This window comes from Homo sapiens, chromosome 7 (assembly GCF_000001405.40).
Source record: "Homo sapiens chromosome 7, GRCh38.p14 Primary Assembly".
Taxonomy (NCBI): Eukaryota; Metazoa; Chordata; class Mammalia; order Primates; family Hominidae; genus Homo; species Homo sapiens.
The window spans coordinates 55,833,134-55,853,798 of record NC_000007.14 but is presented as its reverse complement, the minus strand read 5'-3'; the positions used below and the strand labels follow the sequence as shown (position 1 = coordinate 55,853,798).

Sequence of the window (20,665 nt, the reverse complement as noted above, 5' to 3'; positions counted from 1 at the left end):
CTATATATTTATGGGGCATATGAGATATTTTGTTATAGGCGCACAATGTGTAATAATCATATCAGGATAAATGGAGTATCCACTACCTTAAGTATTTTTCATTTCTTTGTGTTAGAAACATTTCAATTGTACTCTTCATTCTTCTAAAATGTACAATTTATTGTTGACTATAGTCGCCCTGTTGTGCTACCAAATACTGGGCCCTATTCATTCTATCTAACTATATCCTTGTACCCATTAACCATCCCCTCACCACCCCCACTACCCTTCTTAGCCTCTGGTAACCATCCTTCCACTCTCTATCTCTATGAGTTCAATTGTTTTAATTTTTAGCTCCCACAAGTAAGTGAGAACATGTGAAGTTTGTCTTTCCATGACTTGCTTATTTCACTTAACATAATGTTAGGTTCCATCCATGTTGTTGGAAATAACAAGATCTCATTCTTTTTGATGATTGAATAGTTTTCCATTGTGTATATGTACCACATTTTCTTGGTCCATTCATCTGTTGATGGACACTTAGGTTGCTTCCAAATCTTGCCTAGTGTGAATAGTGCTGCAATAAGCATGGGAGTGTAGATATCTCTTCAATGTACTAATTTCTTTCTTTTGGGTATATACCTAGCAGTGGGATTGCTGGATCATAGGTAGTTCTATTTTTAGTTTTTTGAGGTACCTCCATACGTTCTCCATACTAATTCACATTTGCACCAACAGTGTAAGAGGGTTCTCTTTTTTTCCACATTTTCGCCAGCATTTGTTATTGCCAGTCTTTTGGGTAAAAACCACTTTAACTCAGGTGAGATGATATATCATTGTAGGTTTGATTGGAATTTCTCTGATGGTCAATGATGTTGAGCACCTTTTTATATACCTGTTTGCCATTTGTATGTCTTCTTTTGAGACAAGTGTATTCCAATCACTTGCCACTTTTTAAATTGGATTATTAGATTTTTTCCTATTGAGTTATTTGAGCTTCTTACATATTCTGGTTATTAATCCCTTATCGGGGGATAGTTTGCAAATATTTTCTCCCATTCAGTGGGTTGTCTCCTCACTTTGTTGATCACTTTCTTTGCTGTGTAGAAGCTTTTTAATTTCATATGATCCCATTTGTCCATTTTTGCTTTGGTTTCCTGTGCTTGTGGGGCATTATCCAAGAAATATTTGCCCAGGTCAATGTCCTGGAAAGTTTCCCCAATCTTTTCTTTTAGTAGGTTCATAGTTTCACAGCTTAGATTTATGTCTTTAATTCATTTTTATTTGATTTTTATATATGATAAGAGATAGGAGTCTGTTTTCATTCTTTTACATATGGATATCCAATTTTCCCAGCACAATTTATTGAAGAGACTCTTCTTTCCCCACTGTATGCTATTAGCACCTTCGTCAAAAATGAGTTCACTGTACATGTCTGAATTTATTTCTGAGTTCTGTATTCTGTTCCATTGGTCTATATGTCTGTTTTCATGCCAGTACCATGCTGTTTTGGTTATTGTAGTTCTGTATTATAATTTGAAGTCAAGTAATGTGATTCCTTCAGTGTACCCAGAGTACTCAGCATTGCTTTGAATATTCTGTGTCTTTTGTGGGTACGTATAAATTTTAGGATTATTTTTTCTATTTCTTTTTTCTTTTCTTCTTCTTTTTTTTTTTTTTGACAGAGTCTCACTCTGTTGCCCAGGCTGGAGTGCAGTGGCGCAATCTCGGCTCACTGCAACCTCTGCCTCTCAGGTTCACGTCATTCTCCTGCCTCAGCCTCCCGAGTAGCTGGGACTACAGGCACCCACCACCACACCTGGCTAATTTTTTGTATTTTTAGTAGAGACGGGGTTTCACTGTGTTAGCCAGGATGGTCTCGATCTCCTGACCTCATGATCCACCCGCCTCAGCCTCCCAAAGTGCTGGGATTACAGGCGTGAGCCACTGCGCCCAGCCTCTTTTTTGTATTTTTAGTAGAGACAGGGTTTCACCGTGTTAGCCAGGTTGGTCTTGATCTCCTGACCTCATGATCCACCCACCTCGGCCTCCCAAAGTGCTGGGATTACAGGTGTGAGCCACCGCGCCCGGCCTATTTTTTCTATTTCTGTGGAGAATGTCATTGGTATTTTGATAGGGATTGAGTTAAATATGTAGATTGCTTTCGGTGGTATGAACATTTTAATGATATTGATTCTTTCAGTCCATACACGTGGAATATCTTTTCATTTTTTTGTGTCCTTTTCAATTTCTTGCATCAGTATTTTATAGTTTATCATTTATTGATTTTTGAGTGCTGAATTAACCTTGCATTTCTAGAATAAATGCCAATTGTTTTAATCTATAATCTTTTTTATATACAAGTGAATTGATTGGTAATGTTTTGTTAAGATAAAAAAAAAAACTCCATGCAGTATGATTTCTTCTAAATGAAATTCTAGAAAAAGTAAAACTATAGCAACTGAAAACAGATGAGAGGTTGCCAGGGCTGAGGGATGAGGGTTACAAATTGACTGAATAGGGGCTAATAGGGAAAGTTTTAGGGATGTCAGAAATGTTCTATATGGTGATCATGATGGTGATTACATTACTATACACATTTGTTAAAATTTATCAAATTGTGCACATAAAGTTGGTGAATTTTATTACATATAAATTATTCCTCAATAAAGCTAGCTGATTAACATGTATAGAATTTTAGTAGAAAAAAGCAAGTTGCAGAATGTTTGCTTTTTTTTTGTGAGACAAGAGTTTCACTCTTGTGGCCCAGGCTGGCGTGCAATGGCGCGATCTTGGCTTACTGCAACTTCTGCCTCCCGGGTTCAATCAATTCTCCTCTCTTAGCCTCCTGAGTAGCTGGGGTTACAGGCCTCCGCCACCATGACTGGCTAATTTTTTTTTTTGTATTTTTAGTAGAGACCGGGTTTCACCACGCTGGCCAGACTGGTCTTGAACTCCTGACCTCTGGTGATCTGCCCACCTCAACCTCCCAAAGTGCTGCGATTACAGGCGTGAGCCACTGTACCTGGCCATGTATGTGTTTTTAAAATTTAATACCTCTATATTTGTGTATATAAAAGTATTTTTTAATGTCTAGAATCCTAAAAATCATAAAAATAGGGAAAAGAGGAAGGAGATAGGATGTGGGGAATAGTTAAATGGAATATTATCTTCCATTTCAATATTTCAGTTGTTAAGAAAAATTTATTTGCACACTTACTAGTTGTACAATTAAAATTATAGTAGTAAAAAAGAATTTTTGCAGCTATGCACATGACAGAAATTAATGTATAATTTTCTCTTTTTGTGATGTCTTTGCCAGGTGTTTTTTGTTCGTTTGTTTGTTTTTTTGAGATGGAGTCTCACTCTGTTGCCCAGGCTGGAGTGCATGGTGTAATCTCAGCTCACTGCAACCTCTGCCTCCTGGGTTCAAGGGATTCTCCTGCATTAGCCTCCCAGGTAGCTGGGATTACAGGCACGTGCCACCATGCCCGGCTAATTTTTTGTGTTTAGTAGAGATGGAGTTTCACCATGTTGGTCAGGTTGTCTTGAACTCCTGACCTCAGGTGATCCAACCCACCTCAACCTCACAGAATGCTAGGATACAGGCATGAGCCACCGCCCCTGGCCTGTCAGGTGTTTATATTGCCATTATATCTGGTTTCATAAAATACATTGGAAAAAACTACCCCCTCTTCTGTTTTGTAGAGAGTTTGTGTGAATTTTTCTTTTAACTGCTTGTTGATAGAATTCAATAGTGAAATCAGCAGGGCCTGAAGATTTCTTTGTGGAAAGGTTTTTGGCTATAATTTCTTCAATAGATATATGACTATTTAGATTTCCTATTTCCCATTGTGTCATTTTTATAATTTGTTTTTTTTCCCAATGAAATTTATTTATTTTCAAGTTTGTTGGCAAAAGAGTTATTTCAAAATCATTGGCAAAATGTGTTCATCAATGTGTTCACAGTAGTCTAATTTTGTTATCTGTGTGGTCTGTAGTAATATTCTCCCACTTCTGCTATGAGCAATTTGTGTTTTGGGTGTTTTTTGTTTGTTTGTTTTTTGTTTTTTTGAGATGGAGTCTTGCTCTGTTGCCCAGGCTGGAGTGCAGTGGTGCGATCTCGGCTCACCGCAACCTCTGCCTCCCAGGTTCAAGTGATTCTCCTACCTCAGCCTCCTGAGTAGCTGGTATTACAGGCGTGTGCCACCATGCCCGGCTAATTTTTGTATTTTTAGTAGAGACGGGGTTTTTCCATGTTGGTCAGGCTGGTCTCAAACTCCTGACCTCAGGTGATCTCCCTGCCTCAGCCTCCCAAAGTGCTGGGATTACAGGCATGAGCCACCATGCCTGGCTGTTTTGGGTGTTTTTATTAGTCCAGCTAGGTGTTTATCAATCTTATCAATCTTTTCAAAGCAGCAAATTTTTGCTTATTTAATTTTTTCTAAGACCTATTTCCTATTTCTTTGCTTTCTGCTTTTATTTATTTATTTTTGAGATGTAGTCTCCCTCTGTTGCCCAGGCTGGAATGCAGTGGTCCGATTTCAGTTCACTGCAACCTCTGCCTCCCTGGCTCAAGGGATTCGCCTGCCTCAGCCTCCCGAGTAGCTGGGATTACAGGCTCCTGCCACCATGCCGGGTTCATTTTTGTATATTTAGTAGAGACAGGGTTTCACTATGTTGGCCAGGCTGGTCTCGAACTCCTAACCTCAAGTGATCCTTCTGCCTCAGCCTCTCAAACTGCTGGGATTTCAGGCGTGAGCCAACGTGCCTGGCCATGCTTTCTGCTTTTATCTTAATTTTATAATTTTTGTTTTTCTCCTGGGATTTTTGTCTTTTTACTCATTGTGTATGCACACTTTCCTTTATGTCTCTGCACATTTATAATAGCTGTTTTAAAATCTCTATTAGTAGGCCAGGCGCGGTGGCTCATGCCTGTAATCCCAGCACTTTGGGAGGCCGAGGCGGGCGGATCACGAGGTCAGGAGATCGAGACCATCCTGGCTAACACGGTGAAACCCCATCTCTACTAAAAATACAAAAAATTAGCCGGGCGTAGTGGCAGGTGCCTGTAGTCCCAGCTACTCGGGAGGCTGAGGCAGGAGAATGGCGTGAACCCGGGAAGCGGAGCTTGCAGTGAGCCATCGTGCCACTGCACTGCAGCCTGGGCGACAGAGCGAGACTCCGTCTCAAAAAAAAAAAAAAAAAAAAATCTCTGTTAGTAGATCGGGCTCAGTGACTCAAGCTTGTAATCCCAGCCCTTTGGAGGCTAAGGCAGGAGGATTGTTTGAGCTCAGGAATTCAAGACCAGCCCAAGCAACATGGTGCGACCCCGTCTCTATCAAAAATACAAAAATTAGCCAGGTGCAGTGGATCACACCTGTAATCCCAGCACTTTGGAAGGCCGAGGCAGGCGCATCACCTGAGGTCAGGAGTTCGAGACCAGCCTGGCCAACATGGTGAAACCCCTTCTCTACAAAAAATACAAAAATTGGCTGGGCATGGTGGCGCATGCATGTAGTCCCAGCTTTTCTAGAGGCCGAGGCTGGAAAATTGCTGGAGCCCGGGTGATGGAGGTTGCAGTGAGTCGAGATCTCAGCTTACTGCAACCTCTGCCTCCCAGGCCGATTAGCATGTTCTTGTTTTATAAAGGTACAAAATAAATGTAGACAACATCTACTGAGCTGATTGTTGATGCTTCTACCTTAAAATCTTTCCTACTGATTTATAATTCCTTTATTCTCACATATACTAAAACATTTTTAAAGCGGGTTAATTTAAATAAAAAGGTATTTTGTATTCCTCATAAAATAGTGTTAAGAACTGTGAAGTATGCTGAGCTGTCATTGCAAAGTGGTATTTAATGTGTTTATAGTTGTGCAGGGGGTTGTATAATTCCCATTTTTAAAATAGAAGTACTTAAAAATAAAAAATGAATGATCTTTTAACCTTTTAAAAATGATCAGTTGGTAACTTTGTGTGTAATACTGATGGATTTCTAATTTTCTAGAATGGTGTTATTAGTAGTAGATTTCTTCGATATAACACAAGTCCTCAGAGGGTATATAACAAATCTGAAGTATACATCATTTGATTTTTTAAAAATTTCAAATTGATTTTGGTTTCCTCACATATGTAGAGGATCTCCAGCTTACAATCATTCAACTTAAATTGTTGACTCTATAATAGTGCTGTTTTTCACTTTGTTTGATAAATTACATGAGATATTTAATACTTTATTATAACATAAGCTTTGTGTTAGTTGATTTTGCCCAACTGTAGGCTAATGTAAGTGTTCTGAGCATGTCTAAGGCAGGCAAAGCTGAGCTATAATGTTCAGTTTTGTTATGTGTGTTAAATGCAGTTTTGACTTACAATATGTTCAATTTAGGAGGGGTTTCTTGGGACATAGCCTCATCATAAGTTGAGAAGCATCTGGATTAACATGTGTGGGATTTTCTCAATATATTAATACGCTGCAGCAGAATGAAAGGATGTTAAAGTTTTTTTCTTTTTTCTTATGGAAGAAATAATTTATTATGTTACAGTAATACATTAGAGTTTCTTGTAGTATTTCCTTAATTCCCTATTTAATTAATTAATTAATTTTTTGAGACAGAGTTTCACTCTGTCACCCAGGCTGGAGTGCAGTGGTGTGCTCTTGCCTCACTGCAACCTCCCCCTCCCGGGTTGAAGTGATTCTCCTGCCTCAGCCTCCTGAGTAACTGGGATTACAAGCATGCACCACCAATTTTGTATTTTTAGTACAAGCATGCCCGGCTAATTTTGTATTTTTAGTAGAGATGGGGTTTCACAATGTTGGCCAGGCTGGTCTCGAACTCCTGACCTCATGATCCGCCTGCCTCAGCCTCCCAAAGTGCTGGGATTACAGGCATGAGCCACCGTGCCTGTCCCCTGTCTCTTTTAAAATTTAGAAACAGAGCCTCTTTGAGTGTGCTGAGAGATAGATTCACTTTATTTATAAAAATAATAGCCAAATCTATGTGTTTGAACACAGACTTCTATTTTCACAAATTTACTTAATATATTTGCATCTTGTCTGAGGTATGATAAGCAAATGATAATCAATTCTAATTTATTTGATGTACTATAATCATTTTCCTTTCAAATGACTTCATTTTTTATTCTAACACAAAACTCTAAATTTTTGTTTTATTTAAGCAAAAAGAAAATAATATTCGTTGTTTAACTACGATTGGACATTTTGGTTTTGAATGTTTGCCCAATCAGTTGGTGAGCAGATCTATCCGACAAGGATTCACTTTTAATATTCTCTGTGTGGGTAAGTGTCAAACACCTCATTTGAATTATTCCTTCATTTTTCCCAATGTTCATTTCAACTTATCTTAAGCAGTGTAACATTGATGCTATTAATTCAAATATATCTTCATGTTTACAGTGATTCTCATCTTAGCCATATTATGTAATCCTTTTATTTTTTGAGACAGGTTCTCACTTTGTTGCCCAGGCTGGAGTGCAATGGTGTGATTATGGCTCACTGTAGCCTCAGCCGCCTGGGCTCAAGCAATCTGCCCACCTCAGCTTCCCAAAGTGCTGGGATTACAGGCATGAGACACCACACTCGACCTGTAGTGATTGTTAAAAATTGACACATTCCTGTGCTCTTAAAAGTCTGATGTAGCTTAGTATATACTTTCTTTTTCCATTATGTTAATGACTGAGAGAATCAGGGCTAGCATGTATACATATATATATATATATATATATATATACTTTTTTTTTTTTTTCTGAGACGGAGTCTTGCTCTGTTGCCCATGCTGGAGTGCAGTGGTGCAATCTCGGTTCACTGCAAGCTCCGCCTCCCAGGTTCATGCCATTCTCCTGCCTCAGCCTCCCAAGTAACTGGGACTACAGGCGCCCGCCAATACACCCGGCTAATTTTTTGTATTTTTAGTACAGACGGGGTTTCACCATGTTAGCCAGGATGGTCTCGATCTCCTGACCTCGTGATCCGCCCGCCTCAGCCTCCCAAAGTGCTGGGATTACAGGCGTGAGCCACCGCACCCGGCCTAGCATGTATATTTTCAAGGCCATCCCAGTCTTTGAAGTATTTGAGACCCTTTATTTATTTTTAAAATTAATATTATTTTTAATTGAAAAATCATAGTTATTTACATGTATGGATACAATGTGAGGTTTTGCTATATGTTTACAATTTGGAATGATTCAATCAAGTGAATTAATGTATCTATTACCCGGTTTACTTATCATTTTTTTATGATGAGACATTTGAAATTAACTCTCTTGATTATTTTGAAATATACAATACATTGACTATAGTCACTCTGCTGTGCAATAGATCTCAAAACTTATTTCTACTCCTGTTTGAAACTGTTTGCTAAGGATGATGGCCTCTAGCTCCATCCATGTTCCTGCAAAGGACATGATCTCATTCTTTTTCATGGCTGTGTAGTATTCCATGGTGTATATGTACCATATTTTCTTTATCCAGTCTACCATTGATGAACATTTAGGTTGATTCCATGTCTTTGCTACTGTGAATAGCGCTACAATGAGCTCTGATGGTTTGCTAAGGATGATGGCCTCCAGCTCCATCCATGTTCCTGCAAAGGACATGATCTCCTTCTTTTTTATGGCTGAGAACATGTGCCATGTTCTCACTTGTAAGTGGGAGCTAAATGATGAGAACACATGGACACAAAAAGGGGAATAACAGACACTGGTGTCTACTTGAGGGTGGAGGTTTGGAGGAGGGAGAGGATCAGATAAAATAACTATTGGTTACCATGCTTAGTACCTGGGTGATGAAATAATCTGTACAACAAACCCTCATGTCATGAGTTTACTGATACAACAAACCTGCACGTGTACTCCCAACCTAAAATAAAAGTAAAAAAAAAAAAAGAAACTTTGTACCTTTGACCAACTACTCCACCTTTCCTTTCTCCTGCTCCCCCAGCCTCTGGTAGCCAGAATACTACTCTCTACTTCTATGAGTTCAACTTTCTAAGATTTTAAAAACCACCGTAGGAATTCAAAGTGTTGCTTTTTCTTAGCCCCTTTATGTCCCTATGACAATGACTCTATGTCTATTACAGGGGAGACTGGAATTGGAAAATCGACACTGATAGACACATTGTTTAATACTAACTTGAAAGATAACAAATCCTCACATTTTTACTCAAATGTTGGACTTCAAATTCAGACATATGAACTTCAGGAAAGCAATGTTCAGTTGAAATTGACTGTTGTGGAGACAGTAGGGTATGGTGATCAAATAGACAAAGAAGCCAGGTGAGTGTTTTCTTATTTAAATTAAAAAAGGTTTTCTTATTTCAAGGAATTTGACTTCCTTTGCCATAGACTAATTTGTGTAAGTAATACCTTTTCTTCCAGATTTTAATATTTTCCTAAGTAATGTTCTTTTCTTATAAGATTAATACTTTTGTATATAATTGACTTTCTTACAAGATTTTTATTTAGCCAGTTATAGCAAAAAATTTTAAATATAGCTTCTATTAGTTTTAGCTTATTTCCTTATTTCTTTATTTAACTTTATTTGTACAAATTTTCCGTAGACGTTGTACTAATTTACATTCCCACCAACAGTGTCTAAGGGTTCCCATTTCTGTGTACCCTTGCCAAATTATGTTATTTAATTATTTTTATTATTATTTTTTGAGACAGTTTTTCATTCCATCACCCAGGCTGGAGTGCAGTGGCACAAGCTTGGCTCACTGCAGCTTCGACCTCCCAGGCTCAAGTGAATCCTTCCACCTCAGCCTCTTGAGTAACTGAGACTACAGGCACATGCCACCATGCCTGGCTAATTTTAAAAATTGTTTGTATAGATGGGGTCTTGCTATGTTGCCCAGGCTGGTGTCAAACTCCTGGCCTCAAGTGATCCTCCTACCTTGGCCTTCCAAAGTGCTGGGATTATAGACATGAGCCACTCTACTTGGCCTGTTATTTTTTGTCTTTTTTTGAGATGGAGTCTTGCTCTGTTGCCCAGGCTAGAGCGCAGTGGCGCGATCTCGGCTCACTGTAAGCTTTGTCTCCTGGGTTCATGCTATTCTCCTACCTCAGCCTCCTGAGTACCTGGGACTACAGGCGCCTGCCACCACACCCAGATAATTTTTGTATTTTTAGCAGAGACAGGGTTTCACCGTGTTAGCCAGGATGGTCTTGAACTCCTGACCTCGTGATCCACCCACCTTGGCCTCCCAAAGTGCTGTGATTACAGGCGTGAGCCACCGCGCCCGGCCATTTTTTATCTTTTTAACAATAGCCATTCTGACTGAGATAAGATGATATCTCATTGTGGTTTTGCCTTGTATTTTGGTGTTCTGAAAAATGTCTATTCATGTCCTTTGCCCACTTTTTAATGGGATTATTTGTTCTTCTTGTTGTTGTTGTTTAGTTGCTTGCATTCTTTGTATATTCTGGATACTAGTCCCCTGTCGGATGCACCCAGCTTTCCTCTATGTTTACATTTTACATAACCATAGAGTAAAGCATGAGCCTTATTATTGGTTTAGAATTAATATCTTTGTATGGACATGTTATGAACTTTTTCTTCATCACTATAGCAAACTGCTTACATACATGTTAACTGCTCATTAAGTGGTCAAAAAGCAGGCTTTAGATTTTATTAGTCTGTTATGCTAAATGTATAAATTTTTTTTTAGCTACCAACCAATAGTTGACTACATAGATGCCCAATTTGAGGCCTATCTTCAAGAAGAACTGAAGATTAAACGTTCCTTGTTTGAGTACCATGATTCTCGCGTCCACGTGTGTCTTTACTTCATTTCACCTACAGGACATTCCCTGAAGTCTCTTGATCTATTAACAATGAAGAACCTTGACAGTAAGGTATGTTTGGTAAATCTACCATCTTTTTTTTTTTGAGACGGAGTCTCCCTCTGTCGCCCAGGCTGGAGTGCAGTGGTGCGATCTCACCGCAAGCTCCGCCTCCCAGGTTCACGCCATTCTCCAGCTTCAGCCTCCCGAGTAGCTGGGACTACAGGCACCTGCCACCACGCCCGGCTAATTTTTTTGTATTTTTAGTAGAGATGGGGTTTCACCATGTTAGCCAGGATGGTCTCGATCTCCTGACCTCGTGATCCTCCCGCCTTGGCCTCCCAGAGTGCTGGGATTACAGGTGTGAGCCACCGTGCCCAGCCTTCTTTTTCTTTTTTTTTTTTTGTATTTGAGGCAGGGTCTTGCTCTGTCACCCAGGCTAGAGTGCAGTGGCGTCATCATAGCTCACTGCAGCCTCAACCTCCTGGGCTCAAGCAATCTTCCCACCTTAGCCATCCGAGCAACTGGGACAGGAGTGTGCTACCAAGATTGGCTAATTTTTGTATTTTTTGTAGAGACAGGGTGTCACTATGTTGCCCAGGCTGAACTTGAACTTCTGGCTCAAGTGATCCACCCACCTTGCCCTCCCAGAGTTGTTGGGATTACAGGCATGAGCCATTGTTCCTGGTCTCAACCTTTCATGATGTAATATTAATTTTGAGATAATAAGACATCTTGAAGGCACTTGCATGCAAGTGTAGTTACATATCTTTAGGTGATTTCATCATTATGCAAACATCTTAGAGTGTATCTACACATACCTACATGATATAGCCTACTACACATCTAGGCTATAGCCTTTTATGGTATGGCCTATTGCTCCTAGGCTACAAACCTGGACAGCATGGTACTGTACGGAATACTGTAGAATTATAACACAATGGTAAGTATCTGTGTATCTATTTTATTTTATTTTATTTTGAGATGGAGTCTTACTGTCTCCCAGGCTGGAGTGCAGTGGCACAATCTTGGCTCACTGCAACCTCTGCCTCCTGGGTTCAAGTGATTCTCTGGCCTCAGCCTCCCAAGTAGCTGGGACTATAGGCCTGACAGGCCTGTGCCACCATGCCCGGCTAATTTTTTTTTTTTTTTTTTTTTTTGGCGGAGTTTCATTCTTGTTGCCCAGGCCAGAGTGCAATGGCGTGATCTGGGCTCACTGCAACCTCCACCTCCTGGGTTCAAGCGATTCTCCTGCCTCAGCCTTCTGAGTAGATGAGATTACAGGCATGTGCCACCATGCCTGGCTAATTTTGTATTTTTAGTGGAGATGGGGTTTCTCCATGTTGGTCAAGCTGGTCTCGAACTCCCGACCTCGGGTGATCCACCCACCTCAGCCTCTCAAAATGCTGAGATTACAGGCGTGAGCCACTGTGCTCGGCCTAATTTTTGTATTTTTAATAGAGACGGAGTCTTGCCATGTTGGCCAGGCTGGTCTTGAACTCCTGACCTCGAGTGATCTGCCCGCCTCAGCCTCCCAAAGCGTGAACCACTGCGCCCAGCCTTGTCTGTGTATCTAAACATAAAAAAAGTTTCAGTATTAGACAAATAATAGACGCTGGGCCCTTTATAAAGGGGAAGGGTGGGAGGAGGTTGAGATTTGAAAAATTACCTATTGGGTACAATGCTCACTATTTGGGTGATGGGCACACGAGAGACCAAAACCTCACTAATATTCAATATATGTAAGTAACAAACCTGCACATATATCCCCTGAATCCAGAAATTCAATAAATAGATCTCTAAATAGCCAGGTGCGGAGGCTCACGCCTGTAATCCCGTCACTTTGGGAGGCTGAGGTGGGCAGATCACCTGAGATCAGGAGTTCAAGACCAGCCTGGCCAATATCATGAAACCCTGTCTCTACTAAAAATACAGAAAATTAGCAAATTAGCTGGGCGTTGTAGCAGGCGCCTGTAATCCCAGCTGCTCATGAGACTGAGGCAGGAGAATCGCTTGAACCAGGGAGGCGGAGGTTGCAGTGAGCCGAGATTGCGCCACTGCACTCCAGCCTGGGCGACAGAGCAAGAGTCAGTAAATAAATAAATAAATAATAAATAAATAATAACAACAACAAAAAGCAAAGGTACAGTATTATAATATTATGGGAACAACATCATATGTGTGGCCCATCATTTACTGAAATGCCATTATGTGGTGCACGACTGTACCTGTCATTTTGTAATATATGTATATATCCTAATTATCTTTTTCTGTTAATATTTGAGGCATTTGCATCAGTGTGTTAGGGCTGGGATATCAAAATGCCATAGACTGGGTGGTTTAAACAATGAAAATGTATTTTCCTACAGTCTTGGAGGACAGAAGTCCAAGATCAAGGTGTCAGAAGATGTGCTTTCTTCTGAAATCTCTGTCCTTGTCTGGCAGATGACCACCTTATCTCTGTGTTCTCACATGGTGTTTTTCCTAGTGTCTCCGGGGTGTCCACATTTTGTCTTTTTTTTTCGAGACGGAGTTTCGCTTTTGTTGCCCAGGCTGGAGTACAGTGGTGCAATCTCAGCTCACTGTAGCCTCTGCCTCCTGGGTTCAAGCAGTTCTCCTATCTTAGCCTCCTGAGTAGCTGGGATTACAGGCGCCCACCACCACACCCGGCTAATTTTTTGTATTTTTAGTAGAGATGAGTTTCACCATGTTGGCCAGGCTGGTCTTGAACTCTTGACCTCAGGTGATCCACCCACCTCGGCCTCCCAAAGTGTTGGGATTACAGGCGTGAGTCACTGTGCCCGGCCTCACATTTTATCTTCTTATAAGGGTGCCAGTCAGTTTAGGTTGGGCCCCACTGTAACAGTCTCACTTTTTTTTTTTTTTTAATGCCCAGGCTGGAGTGCCGTGGTGTGATCTTGGCTCACTGCAACCTCCGTCTCCCAGGTTCAAGGGATTCTCCTGCCTCAGCCTCCTGGGTAGCTGGGATTACAGGCATGCACCACTACACCCAGCTAATTTTTGTATTTTTAGTAGAGACAAGGTTTCACCATGTTGGCCAGGCTGGTCTCGAACTCCTAATCTCAGGTGATCTGCCCACCTCGGCCTCCCAAAGTGCTGGGATTACAGGCGTGAGCCATCGCACCTGACCCAGTCTCACTTTTTAATCACCTCTTTGAAGGCTTTATCTCAGTTGAGGTCACATTCTGAGGTACTGGGGGGTTGAGGCTTCAACATACAAATTTTTTGGTTGCTGGGGGAGACAACTCACATTTGATAGATTTCAACCTTGACTTACCTCCCAGATCATGGCCATTTGCCTATAGAGTAGCACCCTTGGGAGTAAGTTACAAGATCCCCAGTGGACGCCTGAAAGCATGCATGGTACAGAGCCTGATATATACTGTTTTTTTCTATGCATACATACCTATCATAAAGATTTATTTATAAATGAGATGCAGTTCTCTTTTATTATTAGTTATTATTGTTAGTTTCTTAGATGCAGACCGAAGCTAACAATAGTAACTAATAATAAAATAGAACAATTATAACAATACACTGTACTAAAAGTTATGTGAAAGTTACCTGCGTCTCTCAAAATATCTTTTTTTTTTTTTTTTTTCTGAGACGGAGTTTTGCTCTTGTTGTCCAGGCTGGAGTGCAGTGGCACAATCTCGGCTCACTGCAACCTCTGCCTCTCGGGTTCAAGTGATTCTCCTGCCTCAGCCTCCCGAGTAGCTGGGATCACAGGTGCCCGCTACCACGCCCGGCTAATTTTTTGTACTTTTAGTAGAGATGGGGTTTCCCCATGTTGGCCAGGCTGTTCTCAAACTCCTAACCTCAGGTGATCCGCCTGCCTCAGCCTCCCAAAGTGCTGGGATTACAAGTGTGAGCCACCACGCCTGGCCTCAAAATATCTTATTATACTGTACTCACTCTTCTTATGATGATGTGAGATAATACAATGCCTACATGTTGAGATAAAATGAGGTGAATAGTGAGATAATTCATATCCAGGGTGAGAAGGAGTGGGTCAACATGACATTTCATCACAGTATTTAGAATTGCATGCAATTTAAAACTTCTACATTGTGTATTTCTAGAATTTTTCATTTAATATATTTGGACTGCTGTTGATTACGGGAAATTGTGGAAAGTGAAACTGGGCTGGGCTCTGTGGCTCAAGCCTGTAATCTCAGCACTTTGGGAGGCTAACGCAGGAGCATCGCTTGAGCTCAGGAGCTCAAGACCAGCCTGGGCAATGTAGTGAGACCCCATCTCTACAAAAAAATAGAAAAATTAGCCAGGCATGGTGGTGTGCACCTGTGGGATTGCTTGAGCCCAGGAGTTCCAGGCTGCTGTGAGCCAAGATCATGTCACTGCAATTCCAGCCTGGGCAATAGAGCAAGTCCCCGTTGAAAGAAAAGAGAGCGAAAGAGAGAAAGAGAGAAAGAAAGAAAGGAAGGAAGGGAGGGAGGAAGGGAGGGGGGAGGGAGGGAGGGAGGGAAGGAAGAAAAGAAAGAAGGAGGGAAGGAAGTAAAAAAGAAGGAAAGAAAAGGAAGAAAGAGAAACTGTGGAAAATGGGGGATGCCTGTATTTTTAAAATAAAATTTACTATATGATACTGTGAAATAATCCCACTGATGTTTGACTAGTACCACTGATGGTGTGAAACAGAAAGCTTTTGTGATCCTGGTTACAGATCATATCAGACAGGATTCAGATACAAGAGCCTGCAGGCAGCTACTGCTTGTTATATAGAAACAGCTAAGAAAAGCATAATTCTTTCCAGCAAAAACCTGGGACACACGAGGACTTCCTTTCAATAGGCTGCTTAAGCCCCATGGCTTCAGCAAAATCTCAAAATCGATATGAGACTCTGTTCATTTGATTAATTTTTCTAATTATTCAGCAGTTTTTTGTAGTTTGGTTTTATTGTACAGAAAATCAGTCCGTTGAATGTTTATGAAGCTCAGATTTATCCATACAGAAGGAATTTTAATTTTTGAATATGTAAAGGTCACAGGACTTGTCAGTGGAAGCAGCTTTTGAATATTTGCTTTATCACTTGCTAGGTGTCTGTGACCTTGGGAAAAATGTCTAGCGCTTTCTGTGATTAAAAACATGGGGAGGGCTGGGAGCCAGGGCTCACCCTGTAATCCCGGCACTCTGGGAGGCCGAGACAGGTAGATCACCTGAGGTCAGGAGTTTGAGAACAGCCTGACCAACATGGTGAAACCCTGTCTCTACTAAAAAATACAAAATTAGCTGGGCGTGGTGGCACATGCCTGTAATCCCAGCTACTCGGGAGGCTGAGGCAGGATAATTGCTTGAACCCGCAGGCAGAGGTTGCGGTGAGCCGAGATCACGCCATTGCACTTCAGCCTGGGCAACAAGAGTGAAACTCTGTCTCCAAAAAAAAAAATAAATAAAAAAGCATGGGTAGTGGGTTCAAGCTGCCTGCTTTCACAAACCTGACCCTGTTACTTGCTCACTGTGTGGCTTTGGGAAAATTATGATGCCTCAATTTCTTTCTCTGTAATATTCATGCAACTCTTCCATAAGTCTAAAATCATTTTTCATAAAAAATTTAGAAGGGCCAGACATGGTGGCTCACGCCTGTAATCCCAGCACTTTGGGAGGCTGAGGAGGGAGGATTGCCTGAGCCTGGAAGTTTGAGACCAGCTAGAACAACATAGTGAGACCCTGTCTCTACAAAAAATACAAAAAAATAGCCAGGCATGGCAGCACGTGCCTGTAGTTCCAGCTACTCAGGAGGCTGAGGTGGGAGGATCGCTTCAGCCCGGGAGGTTGAGGCTGCAGTGAGCTGTGATCATGCCACCGCACTGCAGACAGGGCCACAGATCAAGACCCTCTCTCTCTCTCTCTCAAAAAAAAAAAAAAGGTTAAAAGTATATTTTCTTTTTTAAATATAGAAAAGCAATATACATATAAAGGAAATTGTCATATTATCAGATTCTTTTCTGCACTCAGCCCTAACAAAACATGCTGTCTTCAACTTAAATTAGTTGAAGACATCTTTATTTAGTTGAAGAGAGAAAAAGTTCTAAGTTGGGTTCCTTTTATCCGAGGAATCTCAACTTTTACTATATATTGTTCAAACTGAAAAGAGACTTTGTACTTAATCTCAGATGTCATTAAGTAGTTGAAATAAATTAGATTTCTAGTTAAATTAAGAGCTGCTTCAAGTTCTTAATTAGTAGTACCTTCAATAGTCAGGAATATACACTCTTTTTGTTGTTGTTGTTGTTGTTGAGACGGAGTTTCGCTCTTGTTGCCCAGGCTGGAGTGCAATGGCGCAATCTCGGCTCACTGCAACCTCTGCCTCCTGGGTTCAAGCGATTCTCCTGCCTCAGCCTCCTGAGTAGCTGGGATTACAGGCATGAGCCAACACGCCTGGCTAATTTTGCATTTTTAGTAGAGACGGGGTTTGTTCATGTTGGTCAGGCTGGTCTTGAACTCCTGGCCCCAGGTGATCTGCCAGTCTTGGCCTCCCAAAGTGCTGGGATTACAGGCGTGAGCCACTGCGCCCGGTCTGTCCATGGATTTTTTAAAAAACGTGTTTTGAGCAATCTAAAACAAAAGCAGTCTGCCTAAAATTTATATTTATGTATTTCTACTATATTACAGATATTGATTTTGTGGAGCTATAATTTAATAAGATATTTTAACAGTAATAAAACATTATATAATTTTGTATATTGTTATTTCCTAAAAAGTTTAGTTATTTAAGTGCAAATGCAAAAGGCAGGAGTGCTCATATTGAAGCACTAGGAAAAAACTTTGTGGGTAAAAATTCAACCTCAAATATGCAAATATTTAACTTTCAATGTGGAAATTATGTCTTTTTACAAAAGAAAAATGAACATATTTGTTTGCAAGGTGTTCTTATACACACACACGCGCACACACACACATACATACACACACGGCCTTTAGAATATGGTAACCAGGCCAGGTGTGGTGGCTCATGCCTATAATCCCAACACTTTGGGAGGCTGAAGTGGTTGTATCCTGAGGTCAGGAGTTCGAGACTAGCCTGGCCAACATGGTGAAACCCTGTCTCTACTAAAAATGCAAAAATCAACCGGGTATGGTGGCGGGCACCTGTAATCCCAGCTACTCAGGAGGCTGAAGCAGGAGACTTGCTTGAACCCGGGAGGCAGACGTTGCCCTGAGCCTAGATTGCGCCATTGCACTCCAGCCTGGGCGACAGAGCAAGATTCCGCCTCAAAAAAAGAAAGAATATGGTAATCAAAAACATCTATATTCTTTTTAGGTGGTCTTTGAAAAACAATAGCAAATCTATCTGCAAACACATCTAGGCGGGGCAAGAGAGTGAAAATGGGACATTAATTAAGATTGATTGATGGAAAAAGTGATGTAAAAAGTAGAAGGACAAAATCCCTTCCACAATTTTGAGGAAAGTTCTTTGAATTTGTCTTTTATCACTCAGCTTAATAAGAAATAAAATTGAAAATAAATTAAATAGACCAGGCACGGTGGCTCAGGCCTGTAATCCCAGCACTTTGGGAGGCTGAGGCGAGCGGATCACGAGGTCAGGAGATCGAGAATATCCTGGCTAACACGGTGAAACCCCGTCTCTACTAAAAATACCAAAAAGTAGCCGGGCATGGTGGTGGGCGCCTGTAGTCCCAGCTACTCGGGAGGCTGAGGCAGGAGAATGGCATGAACCTGGGAGGCGGAGCTTGCAGTGAGCCAAGATCGCGCTACTGCACTCCAGAGCCTGGGCAACAGAGCCAGACTCTGTCTGAAAAATAAATAAATAAATAAATAAATAAATAAAATAATTTACATTGTCCTACTATTTACATTTTACTAACTCCATATGTGTAGAGGTATAAGGGATTTTTAGAAGAGAAACAAGGTTGAGACTTCTAAACCTGAATTTGGATAAAAGATCAATCTTCAAAAGTATTGATAATTTTGGAAAATAATTTTTAAGAAAAGCATGACAGCCAGTGATTACCTAGTTATGCAATTTGTTGTCAGAGATTGTGAAGGCTTTACTATAAAAACTATAGGATGGCTGGGCGCAGTGGCTCACGCCTGTAATCCCAGCACTTTGGGAGGCCGGGGCAGGCGGATCACGAGGTCAGGAGATTGAGACCATCCTGGCTAACACGGTGAAACCCCGTCTTTACTAAAAACACAAAAAGAAATTAGCCGGGCGTGGTGGCGGGTGCCTGTGGTCCCAGCTACTCGGGAGGCTGAGGCAGGAGAGTGGCGTGAACCCAGGAGGCGGAGCTTGCAGTGAGCCGAGATCGTGCCCCTGCACTCCAGCCTGGGCGACAAAGCGAGACTCCGTCTCAAAACAAAAAACAAAAAACAAAAAAACTGTGAGATGAACAATGATGAGATTTTGTTTGTCTTCTTTCTTCATAGGTGAATATTATACCACTGATTGCCAAAGCAGACACTATTTCTAAAAATGATTTACAGACGTTTAAGAATAAGATAATGAGTGAATTGATTAGCAATGGCATCCAGATATATCAGCTCCCAACAGATGAAGAAACTGCTGCTCAAGCGAACTCCTCAGTTAGTGTAAGTTTCAGTAACATATCTGACAAAGAGGCTAGAAATGAGTGTTTATCCAGAATCCAGTGTGAGAATTTTTAATTTTTTTAATTTTGTAAAGCTTCTGCTGAGAATCGATTCTTTGTAAACAGATTTATTTAGATTTAATTCATACAGCATGTTCCTCAAGGATATTGGCCTATAATTTTCTTCTTGAAAGTGTGTTTTCTTGCTTTGATATCAAGGGGATGCTGCCTCATAAAATGACTCTGAAGGTGTTACCTCTTTTTTCTATTTTTTCAAAGAATTTGAGGATGTTTTATATTAAATTTTCTTTGAAAGTTTGGTAGAATTTACCCATGAAGTAATCTGGTCCTAGGCTATATTTTGGAGTTTTGAAAAATTACTTCTTTAGTTTCTCTATTTGTTATTGGTCTCTTTAAGCTCTCTATTTATTCTTCATTCCATCTTGGTAGTTTATATGTTTCTAGTAATTTCACCATTTCTTCTAAGTTGTCAAGTTGGTTGGTGTATAATTGTTCATAGTAGTCCCTTATAATTCTGTTTATTTCTGTAAGAAATAAACTTCTGTAATAAGTTGTAATGTCTTCTCTTTCATTTCTTATTTTATTAACATATTCTCTCTTTTTGTTCTTAGTCTAAGTAAGGGCTTTGATTTTGAGTTTTTTTCCCCAAATCAACTCTTAGCTTCATTGATTAATTTTTTGTTTTGTTTTCTTTTTTGAGACAGAGTCTCACTCTGTTGCCCAAGCTGGAGTGCAGTGGCACAATCTCGGCTCACTGTAAGATCTATCTCCCGGCTTCAAGTGATTCTCCTGCCTCAGCCTCCCAAGTAGCTGGGATTACAGGAGCATGCCACCACACTTGGCTAATTTTTGTGTTTTTAGTACAGACAGGGTTTCACCATGTTGGCCAGGCTGGTCTCAAACTCCTGGCCTCAAGAGATCTGCTGGGATTACAGGTGTGAGCCACCGTGCCTGGCCGATTAAAATTTTTTTTATTCTCTATTTCATTTATTTATGCTCTAATCTTTGTTATTTCTTTCCTTCTGCTATTTGTGTGTGTGTGTTTGTGTGTGTGTAAAGTTAGGTTGTTTATTTGAGATCTTTTTTTTTTGAGACGGAGTCTCTCTCTGTTGCCCAGGCTGGAGTGCAGTGGCGCAATCTCAGCTCACTGCAACCTCTGCCTCCCAGGTTCAAGTGATTCTCCTCCCTCAGCCTCCCGAGTAGCTGGGACTACAGGCGTGCGCCACCACATCCGGCTAATTTGTTTGTATTTTTAGTAGGATGGGGTTTCA

General features: G+C 40.9%; 1 protein-coding gene across 1 annotated transcript in view; it reads left to right on the top strand.

Annotated features, from left to right (window-relative positions):
* SEPTIN14 (septin 14) overlaps positions 1-20,665 on the top strand; it is a 69,213-nt gene that overhangs the window by 8,954 nt on the left and 39,594 nt on the right. The window contains exons 3-6 of the mRNA NM_207366.3: positions 7,162-7,282; positions 9,081-9,276; positions 10,671-10,857; positions 19,213-19,374. Coding sequence (NP_997249.2) covers positions 7,162-7,282; positions 9,081-9,276; positions 10,671-10,857; positions 19,213-19,374 — 666 coding nt within the window. The remainder of the gene's footprint in view (positions 1-7,161; positions 7,283-9,080; positions 9,277-10,670; positions 10,858-19,212; positions 19,375-20,665) is intronic.